Genomic DNA, 19,742 nt, shown 5'->3' with positions numbered 1-19,742 from the left:
CCATGTTAGCCAGGCTTTCTCGAACTCCTGACCTTGGGCAATCTGCCTGCCTCGGCCTCACAAAGTGCTGGGATTACAGGCGTGAGCCACCACACAGGCGAGATCTTTTTTTAAAAAAAGATGTAGGTGTTTACTACTATAGAATTCCTTTGTTTTTTATTTTAGATTCAGAGGGTATAAGTGCATATTTGTCAAATAGATATATTGCATAATGGTGAGGTTTGGCTTCTAGTGTAACTATCCTGAAATAGTAAATATTGTACCCAACAGATCATTTTTTTTTTGAGACATGATCTCACTCTGTTGCCCTGGCTGGTGTGCAGTGGCGTGATCACATCTCACTACCAATAGATAATATTTTGACCATCGGCCTCCTCCCAGTCTCTCCCTTTTGGAGTCTCACTATCTATTGTTTCCATTTTTATGTCCTTGTGTACTCATTGTTTAGCTCCTGCTTATGAGAACATGTGGTATTTGATTTTCTGTTTCTGAGTTATTTCACTTAGGATAATGGCCCCCAGCTCCATCCATGTTACTGCACAGAGCATGATTTCATTTTTATGGCTGCATAGTATTCCATGGTGTATATATACCATATTAAAATAAATCCAGTCCACTGTTAATGGACATTTAGGTTAATTCCATGACTTTACTATTATGAGTAGGAATGTAATACACATGAGTGAAAGTGACTTTTTTATATAATTATTTCTTTTCTTTCAGATGCCTAGTAGTATAATCACTGGGCCAAATGGTAGCTCTATTTTTAGTGCTTCGAGAAATCTCTATGCTGTTTTTCATAGAGGTTGTTATGGTCCCACCAACAGTGAATAAGCATTCATTATTCTCTGCATTCACACCAACATCTGTTGTGTTTATATCTTATTTTGTGTGTGTGTGTGTGTGTGTGTGTGTGTGTGTGTGTGTGTGTTTGAGACAGAGTCTCGCCCTGTCACTCAGGCTGGAGTTCAGTGGTATGATCTCATCTCACTGCAACCTCTGCCTCCTGGGTTCAAGAGATTCCCCTGCCTCAGCCTCCGAGTAGCTGGGATTACAGGTGCCTGCCACCATGCCCAGCTAATTTTTGTATTTTTGGTAGAGATGGGGTTTAACCATATTGGTCAGGCTGGTCTTGAACTCCTGACCTCAGGTGATCCACCCGCCTTGGCCTCCCAAAGTGCTGGGATTACAGGTGTGAGCCACTGCGCCCTGCCTTTATTGTGGTTTTAATTTGCATTTCTCTGATGATTGGTGATGTTGAGCAATTTTTCATGTGTTTGGTGGCCACTTGTATGTCTTCTTTTGAGAAATGTCTGTTCATATCCTTTGCAGTCTTTTTTAATGAGGTTGTTTATTCTTTGTTGTTGTTGAGTTGTTTGTGTTCTTTTTAGATTCTGGATATTAGTTCTTTGTCAGATGCAAAGTTTGCAAATATTTTGTTCTTATTGTGTAGGTTGTCTGTTTACTCTGTTGATTATTTCTTTTGCTGTGCTCTTTAGTTTAAGTCTCATTTGTGTATATTTGGTTTTGTTGCATTTCCTTTTCAGGTCTAAGTTATGAATTATTTTCCTAGGCCAATATCTAGAAGAGTTTTTCCTAAATTTTCTTCTAGGATTTTTATAGCTTCTGGTCTTTCATTTAAGTCATTAATACGTCTTGAGTTAAAGTTTGTATATGATGAGAAATGGGAATTCAGTTTCATTCTTTTGCCTATGGGTAGCCAATTTTCCCAGCACCATTTATTGAATAGAATGCTCTTTCCCCACTGTTTATTTTTGCCAACTTTGTCAAACATCACTTGGTTGTAGGCATGTGATTTTATTACTGGTTCTTTATTCTCTTTTCTTTCACAATTTTTTTCTCCCTTTTTAAGCTGTATCCTTCCTAGCAATGGACTCTTTATTCCATTCCATTAATCTGTCTGTTTTTGTACCAATGCCATACTGTTTTTTTTAGTATAGCATTATAGTATAATTTGAAGTCAGACACATGATGCCTCTGACTTAGTTCTTTTTGCTTAGGAGTACTTTGGCTATTTGAATGCTTTTTTGGTTCCATATGATATTTAGGATCGTTTTTTCTAATTCTGTGAAAAAATGATATTGGTAATTTGATAGGAATTGCATTTAATTTGTACATTGCTTTAGTTAGTGTGGTCTTTGTAATGATGTTGATTCTTCCAATCCAAAAATTCCATAAATTTTTGGAATAGTTTCAGTAAGACTGGTACCAGCTCTTCATTATACTTGTGGCAAAATTTGGCTGTAAACCTATCTGTTCTTGTTTTTATTTGTTTGAAATTATTTTATTAGTGAGTCAATTTCATTACTTGTTATTGGTCTATTTAGGATATCTATTTTTTCCTGGTTTAGTCTTAGGAGGTTGTATGTTTCCAGGTATTTACCCATTTTCTTTTTTTTTAAAGGAATATAAAACTATTATTGACCACTGTTCACCAATATTTACAATAAGGTAAACAATATACAGTTGGGGCCTGGCGTGGTGGCTCACCCCTGTAATCTCAGCACTTTGGGAGGCCAAGGCGGGCGGATCATGAGGTCAGGAAATCGAGACTATCCTGGCCAACACCATGAAACCCCTTCTGTACTAAAAATACAAAAAATTAGCCAGGTGTGGTGGCAGGCGCCTCCAGTCCCAGCAACTCGGGAGGCTGAGGCAGAATGGCGTGAACCCGAGAGGCGGAGCTTGCAGTGAGCGGAGATCGCGCCACTGCACTCCAGCCTGGTAGACAGAGCGAGACTCCGTCTCAAAAAAAAAAAAAAATATATATATATATATATATATATATATACAGTTGGATAACATTCTGATTACCACAAAGTTGTATTTCCTGGCTTTTGCTGAACCAGTAAAGCAAATACTGAAAAGATTGAGCCTACATGTAAGGAATGAGTTGGAGTAAAGAAAAAAACATGCAAGTCCTTTTTTTTTTTTTGAGACAGAGTCTCGCTCTGTCGCCCAGGCTGGAGTGCAGCGGTGCGATCTCTGCTCACTGCAAGCTCCGCCTCCCGGGTTCACGCCATTCTCCTGCCTCAGCCTCCTGAGTAGCTGGGACTATAGGCGCCCGCCACCACGCCCGGCTAATTTTTTGTATTTTCAGTAGAGACGGGGTTTCACCGTGTTAGCCAGGATAGTCTCGATCTCCTGACCTCGTGATCCGCCCGCCTCGGCCTCCCAAAGTGCTGGGATTACAGGCGTGAGCCACCGCGCCTGGCCAAAAGCATGTAAGTCTTTTAGTTTACTTTTGTAATTTAAGCTATGAAGAGGCTTTTTTTTTTTTTTTTTTTTTTTTGAGATGGAGTCTCGTTCTGTCACCCAGGCTGGAGCACAGTGGCGCTATCTCGGCTCACTGCAACCTCTGCCTCCCAGGTTCAAACAATTCTCTGGAAGAGGCCATTTTTTGTTGCAGACTTGAAGAGCTGTTATTCACTGCCTCCAAGCTGCTCTGGGTGGAAGGTCTGCAGCATCTCTGGCCCTCTGCACCTCCAGCTCCAGCCACATCCGAGCAGGGAGGGATGAATTTAACCATTTTATCTAGGTTTTCTAGTTTGTATGCATAGAGATATTCATATTAGTCTCTGATGATCTTTTGTTTTCTGTGGTATCAGTTGTAATGTCACTTTTATCACTTCTGATTGTGCTTGTGCTTACTTGAATCTTCTGTCTTTTTTCTTGGTTAATCTAGCTAGCACCATATCAATTTTCTTTCTTTTCTTTCTTTCTTTTTTTTTTTTGAGACAGAGTTTTGCTTTGTTGTCCAGGCTGGGGTTCAGTGGCACGATCTTGGCTCACTGCAACCTCTGCCTCCCAGGTTCAAGCAATTCTCATGCCTCAGCCTCCTGAGTAGCTGAGATTACAAGCACCTGCCACCATGCACAGCTGATTTTTTGTATTTTAGTAGATACGGGGTTTCACCATCTTGCCCAGGCTGATCTGGAACTCCTGAGCTCAGGCAATCCACCTGTCTTGGCCTCCCAAAGTGCTAGGATTATAGGCGTGAGCCACCGTGCCCGGCCTAGCACCATATCAATTTTCTTATCTTTTCAAAAAACAAAACAGGTTTTTTGAACTAACACAGACAAAAAAAAAAGTAAATTTAAATAAATAATCAAGAGTTCAATAAATCGGAAATTATGTAAAGCAACCAAACTTATGAGTTGTAGGCATTTCTGAGAGAGAAGAGGAAAAGGTAAAAAGATTGGAAACATATTTGAGGGAATAATCAGAAAAATTGTCTTGGCCTTGCTAGAGAGGTACACATCCAGATACGAGAAGCTCGGAAAATACCTGAAAATATTTTGCAAGATGAACTTCACCAGACTATCCAAAGGCAACTTGAAGGAAAATACTCTGAAAGAAGCAAGAGACAATTTTCAAATCACCTATAAAGGAAATCACATTAGACTAACAGCCGACTTCTCAGAAGAAAGTTTACAAGCCAAAAGGCACTGGGATCCTATTTTCTGTCTGTCTTCTGCTTAGTCTAGCCTATTGTTAAAGCTTTCATCTGGCCGGGTGCAGTGGCTCACGCCTGTAATCCCAGCACTTTGGGAGGCCGAGATGGGCGGATCACGAGGTCAGGAGATCGAGACCATCCTGGCTAACACGGTGAAACCCCACCTCTACTAAAAATACAAAAAATTAGCCGGGCGTGGTAGTGGGTGCCTGTAGTCCCAGCTACTCAGGAGGCTGAGGCAGGAGAATGGTGTGAACCCGGGAGGTGGAGCTTGCAGTGAGCTGAGATGGCGCCACTGCACTGCAGCCTGGGCGACAGAGCAAGACTCTGTCTCAAAAAGAAAAAAAAAAAAAAAAAGCTTTCATCTGTAACCCAACCCTTCAGTGTGTTTTTCATTTCTAGAAATTCAATTGTTTTTTTTTTAAGATATCTGTACTTCATTCACATTCTGCATTGTTCTGGTATCTTTGTGTTGATTTTCAGCTTTGTCTTGGATCTCATTGAACTTCCTTATAATCCATATTTTGAATTCATTATCTTTCATTTCAGAATTTTCATTTTGGTTAGGATCCATTGCGAGAGAGCTAGTGTGTCCTTTGGTAGTGTCAAAACATTCTGCTTTTTTTTTTTTCTTCATGATGCCAAACTTCTTATGATGGTTTCTTCTCATCTGGGAAAGTTGTCACTTCTTATTTTTGAATTTACTTTAATTTAGATGGGGTTTTTCCTCCTTGTGGGTGTAACTACAGCATATATTGGGTAGGGGGCTTTGGCTTTGTTTCTTTAGCCCTGTGCCCTTCTGTCAGTAGACTTTTTATTGATTTGTGTAGTTTAACCTCCATGCCAGTAAGTGGCACTTATGAGTAAGAGCCAGCTATGGCAGAAGCAGATGGTGTGTGTTTGATCTTTGTTTACTGTGATTTCCTGTCTGTTGTTTCAGGTGATAGGCTGGTCTATGTAATGCCTAGACTCTGAGTTGCCTGTTCAGCCCAGAGGGGAAGACACAGCTGGGCAGAGCTGGACCACAAAGCTTACCCACCAACATCTCAATGATGAACGTGAACAGTAGCCTTTAGAGGGTGGCTGGTGCAGCTCCTGGTGAAATGCTCACAGGTCTCTGTAGGGAGGGAGGAGCTGTACCAGCTCTACCTCCTGTGTAGGTAGGAACATGATGTGTTTCCCTATCCTACCCCTGTCCCAGAGTTCATGACTCTCAGTTCATACAGACCCAGTCATCTATCTCTAGGTCATAACGTAGCCAAGAGCCATTGAAAATGCCTGTCTTGTGGCTCTTCACAGGAGCAACCTCAGGGTAGGACCTCTTCCCTCAGGCCAATACAGACAGCCCTGTGGCTTGCCTGTTCTCTCATGCAGGAACGCTGCTCCTTTGTGTACAAAGGGGAAGCAGCTTCACCTTTCAGCACATGAGGGTGGATTTCAGCTGTTGCAGTGTTGGCTAGCTGGGTCAGCACAGCCTTAGTCTCCAGAGAGAGCGATCATGTGCCAATGGTGTACTGGGCTAGCCATTTTCTTGATTCTCAGATCCCTATATGGTGCTCTGGATGGCATGCATAAGTACTGGAGGGACTGGATCAGAAGCAGGCTGGCATATGTGTCCTCAGGTACCCAGGGTTCAGGTGCTGGCTGTGATAGAGAGGGGCAGGCTGGCCCCCACACAGCTGGCAGAAAACTTAGGCAGGGGCAGGAAGAATGCTCAGGCAACTGCAGAATGCTAAAGTGACAGCAGTGCCAGGGCAGACTGCAAGTATCTGGGAGCCGGGCTCTCAGAAGGGTGCCAGGCCACAGCTGAAAAGATCAGATGGCAGCATTGTTCTTTATTCTTTTTTTTTTTTTTTTCTGGGACAGTGTTTTACTCTTGTTGCCCAGGCTGGAGTACAATGGCATGGCCTCGGCTCACTGCAACCTCTACCTCCTGGGTTCAAGCAATTCTCCTGCCTCAGCCTCCTGAGTAGCTGGGATTACAGGCACCCTATATCACATTGGCTAATTTTTGTATTTTTAGTAGAGACAGGGTTTTGCCATGTTGGCCAGGCTGGTCTTGAACTCCTGACCTCAGGTGATCTGCCTGCCTCAGCCTCCCAAAGTGCTGGGATTACAGGCGTGAGCCACCTGGCCCAGCCCATCCTTTATTCTTAAAGGACAGCTTTTCTGGGGTAAAGTATTCCTTTTGGTCTTTCTCTTTCTTCCAGTACATTGAATCATCCCACTGTTTCTTGATCTGCAAGATTCTTTTGAGAAATCCATTGATAGTCTTACGCAGCCTCCCTTATATGGGACAAGATGTTTTTCTCTTGCTGCTTTCAAAATTCTCTTTGTGATATAGGTCAGGGTATGCAAAGATTCAGTTTGCAAAATCAGTAAGTTCTGAAAATCTAATGTATGGCAGTGTGAATATAGTTAACAATATACAACATTGTATACTTGAAATTTGGTAAAAGAGTAGATCTACATGTTCTCACCCCCCAAAAAGCAAAGAAAATAATAATTATTTGAGGTAATAAATATGATAAATAATTGTGACTTTTTTTTTTTTTTGAGACGGAGTCTCACTCTGTCGCCAGGCTGGAGTGCAGTGGCTCGATCTCGGCTCACTGCAAGCTCCGCCTCCCGGGTTCACGCCATTCTCCTGCCTCAGCCTCCTGAGTAGCTGGGACTACAGGCGCCTGCCACCACGCCCAGCTAATTTTTTGTATTTTGATTAGAGATGGGGTTTCACTGTGTTAGCCAGGATGGTCTCGATCTCCTGACCTCGTGATCCACCCGCCTCGGCCTCCCAAAGTGCTGGGATTACAGGAGTGAGCCACCATGCCCGGCCAATTTTTGTATTTTTAGTAGAGGTGGGGGTCTCACTACGGTGGCCAAGCTGGTCTCAAACTCCTGACCTCAAATGATCCAACCGCCTCGGCCTCCCAAAGTGCTGGGATTACAGGTGTGAGTCACCACGCCCGGCCCCATCCTTCTTTTTAAATGTAAAATACTTTTATGTTTTTTTAGTAGTTTTATGGTTGTAGAAAAATTGAGTGGAAAGAACAGAGATCTTAATGCCCTCCCTTGATTTTCTTCTATTATTAACATCCTGCATTAAGTGTGGTGCATTTGTTACACTTGATGAGGCAATATTGGTAAGTTATAAACTAAAGTTCGTATCTGACAACAGTCTTCATTGTTTGTGTTGAACATTGTATGGGTTTCAACAAATGTCTAATGACCTCTATCCCATACTGCAGTAACATTCACCATAGTTTCACTGCCCTAAATATCACCTGTACTTGACCTATTCATTTGTCTCCCTCTTTTCCCTTTACCCTTGGCAACTATTGATCTTTTTACTCTCCGTAATTTTTTATTTTGGGAATATCACATAGTTGGAATTATAGTTCATGTAGAACTTTTGGATTGGCTTCATCCACTTAGAAATATGTATTTAAGGTTTCTCTGTGTCTTTTTTTGTGGCTTGATAGCTGATTTCTCATTATTAAATAATATTTCATGTTTAGGTATGCCACAGTTTGTTTATCCACTCACTGATTAAAGGACATCTTGGATGCTTTCAAGTTTTAGCAATTATGAGTAAAGTTGCTATAAACATTTGTGTGCAGGCTTTTGTATGGACGCAAGTTTTCAACTTATTTGGATAAATACTGATGAGTGCACTTCTTGATCATATGGTAAAAGTACGTTTAGTTTCGAAAGAAACTACCAGTCTTACGATGTGGTTACTGCCATTTTGCATTCCCACTGGCAATGAGTGATAGTTCCTGCTGCTCTGTATCTTTGCCAGGATTTGGTGTTGTCAGTGTTTGGGATTTTGGAAATTAAAAAAAAAAATTGTTTGTTTGTTTTTTTGAGATGGAGTCTCATTCTTGTCACCCAGGCTGGAGTGCAGTGGCGTGATCTTGGCTCACTGCAACCTCCACCTCCTGGGTTCAAGCGATTCTCCTGCCTCAGCCTCCCAAGTATCTGGGATTACAGGCATGCACCACCACGCCTGGCTATTTTTTTTTTTTGTATTTTTAGTAGAGATGGGGTTTCACCATGTTGGCCAGGCTAGTCTTGAACTCCTGACCTCAGGTGATCCGCCTACCTCAGCCTTCCAAAGTGCTGGGATTACAGATGTGAGCCACTGTGCTTGGCCTAAAAAAAATTACTGAGTTTTATTTTAGATTCAGTGGGTGGAAATTTAATAAATGTGTAGTACCATGTATTTTTCTTTTAATTTGCAATTCCCTGAGGATGTATGATGTTGATCATCTTTTTTACATGCTAATTTGTTATCTGAATATCTTTTTTGTTGAGGTGGCTATTTGGATCTTGTGCCCATTTTTAATTGAGTTGTTCATTTTTTTGTTGGGTTTTAAGAGTTCTTTGTATATTTTGGACATCAGTCCTTTATCAAGTGTGTGTTTTGCAAAGATTTTCTCTCAGTCGGTGGCTTATCTTGTTATCTTTAACAGTGTCTTTTGCTAGCAGAAGTTTTAGTTTTAATGAAGTTCAACTCATTGATTCTTTCCATTCATCAATGATGTTTTCAGTGTTATATCGATGAAGTCATTGCTAAATTCAAAGTCACCTGCATTTCCTTTTATGTTATCTGTTGCAAGGGAGTGATGACTATCTGGCCTGGTGGTGCAGGCATAAAAGAATTTACCTTGTTGAGGCAGAGGTTGCAGTGAGCCAGGATTGCACCACTGCACTCCAGCCTGGGTGACAGAGTGAGACACTCTCTCTCTCAAAAAAAAAAAAAAAAGAATTTACCTTGCTGTAGGTAAGGAAGGTAGATTTATTACAGAAAGTAGGAAAATACATTGCTAGGGAGGCAACAGGCAGCTTGCAAGAAAGAAGCTGACTGCAAACAAACAAAGGATTGCTGCAGATTTTATAGGCTAGTTCTTAGGCTGTATGCTGAAGAGGGCTTTGTGTAGTGCTGATAATGCCAAGGTTGTGATGCAGGATTCCTCTCAATCATTTTGCCAGCCAGGGACCTCCAGCCAGTGACACCCCCACCTGGGCCTTGCTTGGGCGCGCTACCTGCCACACAGGTAGCCCCATCCATTTGGCCCATTCTGGCTTGCACAGTGGCTCAGCCTGTGGCTGGGCCAGCATGCCCCAGCCTGCCTGTGTTAAAGCTTCTATCTGAGATCAGCAGTTCATGAGCTCTTGTCCCACAACCAAGAAGAATGAGGATACCCTGACAATTGAAGGATGAGGAAGACAGAAGAATTTTATTGAGTGATGGAACAGCTCTCAGTGGAGAGGGGACCTGGGGGCTGTTTCTCTCCTTGTGTGGCTAAGCCCAGGGCTTTTATGGGCTCAGAATAGGCGAGTGCATGCTGATTGGTTTGTGAGTATGCAAAAAGGTTAAAACAAAGGCACCACCCAAAGGTGGGCACAACAATGTGAAAAAAACAATTAGGAAGTGTAGGTATATGTAAAACAGGTGAAGGGTGGAGATCAGCCAGAGGAAAGTGCACCAAGCAGGAAGACAGGTTCTCAATCCAGTCCATGGATTTGACTTGTAACTTGGCTTTCAGGCTTTAAACTATCCTTGGGTTGGAAGTGGGGTTTCCCTGGGGACTTGCCCCTATCTGCCTAGGCATTTGTCCGCCTCCTGCCACTATCAGTGGCAGTGAGCTAACTTGCAATTTTTTGTATCAGCCGAGGGTCTGCTGATAGCTAGGCACAGGAAGATTGTGAGTTATTTGTGCAGGAGGGCCGTGTGTTCTGGATGGTGAAGAAAGGCAGACTTGTAGCTTATCTGATTTTTTTTTTTTTTTTTTTTGCTTTCCCCTGCTCCCACCAGCCTGACTCCCTTTCTCTAATTAGGACTCTACATTATCTTCTAGGAATTTTATTGTTTTATGCTTTACATTTAGGCCTATGATCCAATTTGAGTTAATTTTGTGAAATATGTAAGGTCTGTTTGTAGATTCTTATTTTTACATGTGAGTATTCAGTTCCAGCACTGTTTATTGAAAAGAATATCTTGTCTCCATTAAATTCCCATTGCTTCTTTGTCAAATATTAGTTAACTTTATTTGTGTAGGCATATTTCTGGGCTCTCTGCTCTGCTCTATTGATCTGTTTGTCTATTATTTTGCCCATGCCACGCTGTTTTGATTACTATGGCTTTGCAGTGAATCCTGAGGTTGAATAGTATGTCTTCCAATTTTGTTCTTCTTCAATATTGCATTGGCTATTCTAGTTCTTTTGCCTTTTCATATAAATTTTGGAGTTAATTTGTTATTATTCACAAAATAATTTGGTGAAATTTTGATTGGGGTTGTGGTGAATACATAGGTTAAGTTATGGAACATTGACATCTTGACAATATTGAGTCTTTCTATCCATGTACATGGAATGTCTCTCCATTTATTTAGATAGTCCCTGATTTTTTCAATAGAGTTTTATCTTTTTCTCATCTAGAACCACTATGAAAAACAGTATGGTGGTTATATGGTTTGGCTGTGTCTCCACCCAAATCTCAACTTGAATCATATCTCCCAGAATTCCCACATGTTTCGGGAGGGACCCAGGGGAAGGTAATTGAATTATGGGGGCTGGTCTTTCCTGTGCTATTCTTGTGATAGTGAATAAGTCTCACGAGATCTGACAGGTTTATCAGGGGTTTCTGCTTTTGCTTCTTCCTAATTTTCTCTTGCCGCTGCCATGTAGGAAGTGCCTTTCACTTCCCACCATGCTTCTAAGGCCTCCCCTGCCATGTGGAACTGTAAGTCCAATTAAGCCTCTTTTTCTTCCCAGTCTTGGGTATATCTTTTATCAGTAGCGTTAAAACAGACTAATATAGGTGGTTTCTCCAAAGTTGAAAATAAAATTACCATATGATCTAACAATCCTCTTTCTCTGAAAGAATTGAAAGCAGGGTCTTACTTAGATATTTGTAAAGCCATATAAATTGCATTATTATCCACAGTAGCTGAGAGATGGAAGCAACCCAAATATCCATCAACAGAAGAATAGGTAAGGAGGGATTAACCCTGGACTCTGTATTTGATTCCATTGGTCTACATGTCTGTCTTTATGCTACTTCCAAACTATTTTGATTACTGTAGCTTTGTAATATGTTTTGAATTCTAGAAGTGTGAGACCTCTAACTTTGGTCTTTCTTTTCAATATTTTTTTGGCTATTCAGGTCCCTTGGGATTACATATAATTTTTTGAATGGGTTTTCTCCATTTCATGGCCTGTTTCTCCTCCAAGGTAAAATCTCTGAGGCAGGGTTCTGGAATTGTGGGTGGAAACAATGGCAGGTTACCCACCCTGCCCTGAAGCTTCAGGCACCCACTGGTAACTGAGAGCTCAGTGAGGAGGAGCACCAGTCTGAGGTTCTTTGGATTACTTCCCCACACAATGAGCCACTGCCTCATGAACCAGGCAAGGATGGTCAGGGCCCCCATCTTCTCTGTTTGCTGCATCCAAGGCAGGGCCCCTATTTCACAAGTAGGTCTTGAGTGGTAAAAGGGAGCCTCCAACTCTCAAATAGACTTGCCAAGGACTTAGCCTCAAAAACAGGTAGATGGGGGTTGGATGCGAATGCTGTGTTGTCTCTGGTTCTGGAATCAGGGCAGTAATAAAGATGATGAAACTCTTTATCTGTGTAAATATTTTAGGCTAGTAAATACCTAAAATATTAGCTTAAATTTGAAAGATGATAATTTTCTTTTCTTTTTTTCTTTTGAGACAGAGTCTCACTCTTGTTTCTCAGACCGAGATGTAATGGCGCGATCTCAGCTCACTGCAACCTCCACCTCCTGGATTCAAGCAATTCTCCTGCCTCAGCCTCCCAAGTAGCTGGGATTACATGTGCCTGCCACCATGCCCCGCTAATTTCTGTATTTTTAGTAGAGACGGGGTTTTACCATGTTGGCAAGGCTGGTCTCGAACTCCTGACCTCAGGTGATCCGCCCACCTCGGCCTCCCAAAGTGCTAGGATTATAGGCATGAGCCACCATGCCCAGCCGAAAGATGATACATTTTGAAAGTATACAGATTTAGATTTCCATCCTAGCTTCTCTACTTAAAAGCCAAAAGATCCTGCACAATTCACTCATCTTCCCTGAGACTGTTATCTATGCTATGGGATCAATGACACTTCTATTAAGGCTTTTTTTCTGAGGTGTAAGTGCCAAAATCTTTGTGAAGGATCTGAAACACAGAGTCTAGAATGTAACAGGTAACTGTAACTGATAACTGTTAATTCCATGTCTTCCATTTCTCTTTTCTTATAATTTACACCTCCTTTATTTTAAGATACCTCAAACACTAATAGATTTCTGAATTGAAATGCTAAGTAATGTAAAATGTAAAAAATTATTTGGGATGGGCGTGGTGGCTCACGCCCGTAATCTCAGCACTTTGGGAGGCTGAGGTGGACAGAACACCTGAGGTCAGGAGTTCAAGACCAGCGTGGCCAACATGGTGAAACTCCGTCTCTACTAAACAATACAAAAATTAGCCAGGCATGGTGGCAGGCACCTGTAATCCCAGCTACTCGGGAGGCTGAGGCAGGAGAATTGCTTGAACCTGGAAGGTGGAGGTTGCAGTGAGCCAAAATCATGCCACTGCACTACAGCCTGGGTGACAGAGCCAGGCTCTGTCTCAAAAAAACAAACATAATTTATTGAGACATATACAGTATTGCTTATTAAAGTATTTTATATTGTGTATCCATTAATTATTATAATAGTTGTAGTTGTTTTTAATATTTTTGTCTTTTAACTTTTATACCAGAGTTAAAAGTTATTTGCATGTTATTTCTTCAACATTCAGGTTAAAGATGGTTCAGGGTAAACATAGTGTGAGAAAAATGATGCCTACTGAAAATCTTTTTTCTATGTGTTTCCCACAGCAGGATACCTTGCTTTAGGCTCTGGCTCAGTAGACAGTTTCCAATTGTGTGCACAGCCTGAGACTTATGCTGACAGAAACCAATTAGTGCATACTGTCAAGTCTTAAAATGAGATGCAGGGTAGATCCCTGTCTAATTAAATTTATTACAATATCATCATCTCTGTCATTTTTGTGTGTGTGTGGCGGAGTCTTGCTCTGTTGCCCAGGCTGGGGTGCAGTGGTATGATCTCGGCTCACTGCAAGCTCCACCTTCCGGGTTCACGCCATTCTCCTGCCTCAGCCTCCCGAGTAGCTGGGACTACAGGCGCCCGCCACCATGCCCGGCTAATTTTTTGTATATTTAGTAGAGATGGGGTTCCGCCATGATAGCCAGGATGGTCTCGATCTCCTGACCTCATGATCCGCCCACCTCGGCCTCCCAAAGTGCTGGGATTACAGGCATGAGCCACCGCGCTGGCCTGTCATTTTTATAACAGGAATGAGAGTAATAGAGTAAGCTCTAATGGTGCTAGAGAATTCAATTCATGTCATTCTTGTTTTCTAGGGGCTGTTACCCTTTGCTGTGGTAGGGAGTACAGATGAAGTGAAAGTTGGAAAAAGGATGGTCAGAGGCCGTCACTACCCTTGGGGAGTTTTGCAAGGTAAAAATGACAGAGGGCAGGCTTTGGAATGATTAAGTTAAATATATGTGTATCACTCATAGTCTCAAAATAACATTTTAACTTGAACTAATATTGGTAACTCTTGCTAATCTGTAAGTTAACAGTTACTAATGGGGAACACAAACTCTGTTTTATTTAAACTAATGCTTACTTTGACTATGATTCATTCTCATAGAAGTTTGCTGAACGCTGCTTTAAGCCAAAATCTACAGAGGCTGGGAAGAACCTCTTTGTCTATCCCAACGCTCCCAATGTGCCATGTACATATTATCTCTCTGTATAAATCATGACACTGAGAGTGCTGGAAAGCACTTTCAACAAAATGGAAGCAAAAATACTAGTGTGTAGACATGTTACATAAACTCATTACTACCTAATGTAGAAACCATTTTAAACTGGTCACTAGAAAAAAGAGTTATAAACTTTTTAAAACAAGAAAGTACAATTTACCTTTGGCTAGAGATTATACCTTTGACATTTATATTATTATTTAGCATCATAATGAGTTAGAATAGTGTAGTAAGCAGTAATTTATTGTCTGGTTCATATACTTGTGGTTCATATAATTATTGGGGAATGGAAGATTTCTACTTGTACTGGTTTCCAAATGATTTTTTTTTTTTTTTTTTTTTTGAGACAGAGTTTCACTCGTGTTGCCCAGGCTGGAGTGCAGTGGCATGATCTTGGCTCACTGCAACCTCTGTCTCCCAGGTTCCAGCTATTCTCCTGCCTAAGCCTTCCGAGTAGCTGGGATTACATGCGCTTGCCGCCACACCGGGCTAATTTTTGTATTTTTAGTAGAGATGGGGTTTCACCATATTAGTGAGGCTGATCTTGAACTCCTGACCTCCGGTGATCCACCTGCCTCGGCCTCCCAAAGTGCTGGGATTACAGGCATGAGCCACCGTGTCCAGCCTCAAATGATGTTGTTAAAAAATTGACATATTAGAAAATTTAAAATTTGTTAAGCATACTTAAAACTTAATGTTTTAATATTTATTATGTTGTATTACATGTTAGTATATGTTATAAAATATATATCTATACTATATGTTGATACATAAAATTTGGTCACAGTATTAATCACAATAAACCATATATTGTGGTCAATCTTCTGGACATGACAAACACAGGAGAGAGCCATACAAATTATTTTTCATTAATTAATCTTAATTGACAAATAAAATTTTATGTACTTATGTACAACATGATGTTTTGAAATACATATACATTGTGGGATGGCTAAATTGATATAATTAACATATGTGTTATCTCAATTATTTTTGTGATGAAAACTTAACATCTATCTTAGCAATTTTCAAGAATATAAAATATTGGCCGGGCGCAGTGGCTCACGCCTGTAATCCCAGCACTTTGGGAGGCTGAAGCGGGCGGATCATGAGGTCAGGAGATTGAGACCAGCCTGGCTAACACAGTGAAACCCAATCTCTACTAAAAATACAAAAAAATTAGCCAGGCATGGTGGCGGGCACCTGTAGTCCCAGCTACTTGGGAGGCTGAGGCAGGAGAATGATGTGAACCCGGGAGGTGGAGCTTGCAGTGAGCTGAGATCACGCCACTGCACTCCAGCTGGGCAACAGAGCGAGACTCCTTTTCAAAAAAAAAAAATATATATATATATATAAAATATTGTTATTAACATGGTCACTATGTTGTACAATAGATCTCTTTAACTTGTTCTTACCTAACTAAAATTTTGTATCCTTTGACCAACATCTCTCCTACATACCCTCTACCTAACTCACGTAACCACCATTCTACTCTCTGTTTCTACAAGTTTAACTTTTAAAAATTTGATCTATTAGTGAGATCATTTACCATTTGTCTTTCTGTGTTTGGCGTATTCACTTAGTGTAAAGTCATCCAGTTCCATCCATGTTGCTGCAAATGATAGAATTTCCTGATTTTTAAGGCTGAATTCCATTGCGTATATATGCCACACTTTTTTTCTTCATGCATCTATTCATGGACACTTAGATTGCTTCCATATCTTGGTTCTTGTGAATAATGGTAGTGTAAGTATCTCTCTGACATACTGACTTCATTTTTGGGAGGTAATGTATCCAGTAGTGAGATGGCTGGATCATATGGTAGTTGTTTTATTTTTAATTTTTTGAAGAAACTCCATACCGTTTTTCATAATGGTTATCCTAATTTACATTGCCACCAACAGTGTACAAGGGTTCCCTTTTTTCCACATCCTTACCAGCACTTGTTTGTCTTATTGATAATAGCCATTTTAGCATGGGTGAAGTTACAGCTTGTTGTGTTTTTAATTTTTTTTTTGAGATGGAGTTTAGCTCTTGTTGCCCAGGCTGGAGTGCAATGGTGTGATCTTGGCTCACTGCAACCTTTGCCTCCTGGGTTCAAGCAATTCTCCTTCCTCAGTAGCTGGGATTACAGGCATGCGCCACCAAGCCTGGGTAATTTTTTTTTTTTTTTGTATTTTTAGTAGAGACAGGGTTTTGGCTTGTTGGTCAGGATAGTCTCAAACTCCTGACCTCAGGTGATCTGCCTGCCTCAGCCTCCCAAAATGCTAGGATTACAGGCATGAGCCACCACACTGGGCCTGTGTTTTTTAATTTTTAATTTTTGTGGATACCTAGTAGGTGTGTATATTTATAGGGCACATGAGATATTTGATACTGGCATTCAGTGTGTAGTAATCACATCAGGATAGAGTACCCATCAACTCAAGCATTTATCCTTTCTTTGTGTCACAAACAATCCAACTATACTCTTTTAGTTATTCTAAAATGTACAATAAATTATTGTTGACTGTAGTCACCCTTTTGTGCTATCAAATACTAGATCTTATTCATTCTATGTAACTATATATTCGTACCCATCAACTATCCCCACTTCTCTCCCTCCCCAATCCTTTCCTAGCTTCTGGTAATCAACATTCCACTCTTTATCCCCATGGGTTCAATTGTTTTAATTTTTAGCTCCACAAATGAGTGAGAATATGTGAAGTTTGTCTTCCTGTGTCTTGCTTATTTCACTTAACAGAATGTCCTCAGTTCCATCCATGTTGTTGCAAATGACAGGATCTCATTATTTTTTATGGCTGAATAGTACTCCATCATGTATATGTACCACATTTACTTTATTCATTCCTCTGATGATGGATACTTAGGTTGCTTCCAAATCTTGACTATTGTGAATAGTGCTGTAACAAACATGGGAGTGGAGCTATCTCTTTGATATACTACTTTCCTTTCTTCTGGGTATACACCTACTAGTGGGATTGCTGGATCATATGGTAGTTCTATTTTTAGTTTTTTGAGGAAACTCCATACTGTTTTCCATAGATACTGTACTGATTGACATTCCTATCAACAGTGTACAAGGATTCCTTTTTCTCCACATCCTCACCAGCATTTGTTATTGCCTGTCTTTTGGATAAAAGCTTTTTTAACTGGGGTGAGATTATATCTCATTGTAGTTTTTATTTGCCTTTCTCTGGTAATCAGTGATATTGAGCACCTTTTCATTTGCTTGTTTGGCATTTAAAAAAACCCACAATGAGCAGTTACTTCACACATGTTAAAACAGTTATTATCAATAAGACAAAAGAAGACATTTGTATGTCTTCTTTGGAGAAATGTCTATTCGGATCTTTTGCCCACTTTAAATTAAATTATTAGATTTTTTTCCTATTGAGTTGTTTGAGCTTCTTAAATATATTCTGGCTATTAATCTTTTGTCAGATAAATAGTTTGCAAATATTTTCTCATTGTGTGTATTGTTTCTTCACTTTGTTGTTTCGTTTGTTTTGCAGAAGCTTTTTAACTTGAGGTGATCCCATTTGTCTATTTTTGCTTTGGTTGCCTGTGCTTGTGGGGTATTACTCACTAAATGTCCTAAAGAGCTTCCCCAATGTTTTTTGTAGTCGTTTCATAATTTGAGGTCTTAGATTTAAGTCTTTAATCCATTTTGATTTGATTTTTATATGTGTTGAGAGATAAAAGTCTAGTTTCTTTCTTCTGCAAATGGATATCCAGTTTTCACAACACCATTTATTGAAGCGCTTATCCTTTCCCCAATGTATGTGCTTGGCACCTTTGTTGAAAATGAGTTCTCTGTGGCTGTGTGGATTTATTTCTGGGTTCGCTATTCTGTTCCATTGGTCTTTGTGTCTGTTTTTATGCCGGTACCATGCTGTTTCACTTACTATAGCTTTGTAGTATAATTCGAAGTCAGGTAATGCGATTCCTCCAGTGTTATTTTTGCCCAGAATTGCTTTAAGTATTTTTGTGGTTCCATATACATCTTAGAATTGCTTTTTCTTTTTCTATGAAGAATGTCATTGGTATTTTGATAGGGATCGCATTGAATCTTTAGATTGCTTTGAGCAGTATGAACATTTTAACAATATTATTGATTCTTCCAATCCATGAACATGAACTGTGTTTCCATTGTTTTGCATTCTTTTCAATTTCTTTCATCAGTATTTTATAGTTTTCATTGTAGAGATTTTTCATTTCTTTGGTTATGTTTATTTCTAGGTATTTTATTTTATAGCTGTCATAAATTGGATTAGTTTTTATTTCTTTTTCAGATTGTTCACTGTTGGCATATAATAATGCTAATAGAATTCTGAATTTCTTCTCTGTGTTATCTTGAATTTCACTGAGCTCTTTTAAAACAGCTATTTTGAGATCTCTGAAAGGTTACATATATCTGTCCTGAGATATGTGATTGGGATTTGTCATTAGTGCCTCATTTGGTTCATTTGGTGAGGTCATGTTTTCTGGGATGGTCTTGATGCTTGTCAATGTTCATCTATGTCTGGGCATTGAAGAGTTAGATATTTATTGTAATCTTTGCAGTCTGGGCTCAATTGTGCCTATTCTATTTGAGAAGGTTTTCTAAGTATTCAAAGGGAATGTATTAGGTGGTACCCCAAGCCCAGTAACACTGTGACGCCAGCAGACTCGTACTGCCTCAGTGGTCTTGGATAATATCTGGGAGAATTCCCTGGATTATGAGGCAGAATCTCTCAAACTCTTTTCTCACTTTCTCCCAAACAGAAGGAGTCTCTCTGTCTGTGCTAGGTTGCTTGGAGTTGAGGGAAGGGTGACATCATCACTCCTGTGGCCATCACAGCTGGTACTGTGCTGGGTCACATATGAAACCAGCAAATTACTGGGTCCTGCCCAAGGCCCATGGCAACTACTGCCTTGCTACTACTGATGTTTAAGGCCCAAGGGCTCTTTAGTCAGCAGGTGGTGAGTCCTGCTGGGCTGGGTCCATCTCTTCAGTGCAGCAAGTTCCCTTCTGTCCCAGAGTAGGTCTAGAAATGTCCAGGAAGTAGGGCCTGGAATTGGGGGCTTCAGGAATGGGCTTAGTGGTGTGTTTTACTGTGGCTGAGCTGCTACTCAAGTTGTAAGATAAAGTTCTCTTCTAATCTTCCTTTTCTTTCCCACAAGTGGAAGGACTCTCTTGTGTGTTTTACTGTGGCTGAGCTGCTACTCAAGTTGTAAGATAAAGTTCTCTTCTAATCTTCCTTTTCTTTCCCACAAGTGGAAGGAGTCTCTTTTCGGGCTGCACTGCCTGGAGTTGGGGGAGGTGTGATACAAGCACTCCTTGGCCACCAAAACTGGTGTCTTGCTGGGTCACACGCATTCCTATTCCACTGGCTCTGAGCAAGCTCAGTAACTGGACTTGCCCAAGGACTGCAGACCTTG

The 19,742-nt window shown here is 40.6% G+C and overlaps 1 protein-coding gene across 1 annotated transcript in view; it reads left to right on the top strand.

Annotated features, from left to right (window-relative positions):
* SEPTIN14 (septin 14) overlaps window positions 1-19,742 on the top strand; it is a 69,213-nt gene that overhangs the window by 29,619 nt on the left and 19,852 nt on the right. Inside the window, exon 7 of the mRNA NM_207366.3 lies at window positions 13,911-14,007. Coding sequence (NP_997249.2) covers window positions 13,911-14,007 — 97 coding nt within the window. The remainder of the gene's footprint in view (window positions 1-13,910; window positions 14,008-19,742) is intronic.

This window comes from Homo sapiens, chromosome 7 (genome assembly GCF_000001405.40).
Source record: "Homo sapiens chromosome 7, GRCh38.p14 Primary Assembly".
Classification (NCBI taxonomy): domain Eukaryota; kingdom Metazoa; phylum Chordata; class Mammalia; order Primates; family Hominidae; genus Homo; species Homo sapiens.
This window is presented reverse-complemented; position numbering and strand designations above follow the sequence as displayed.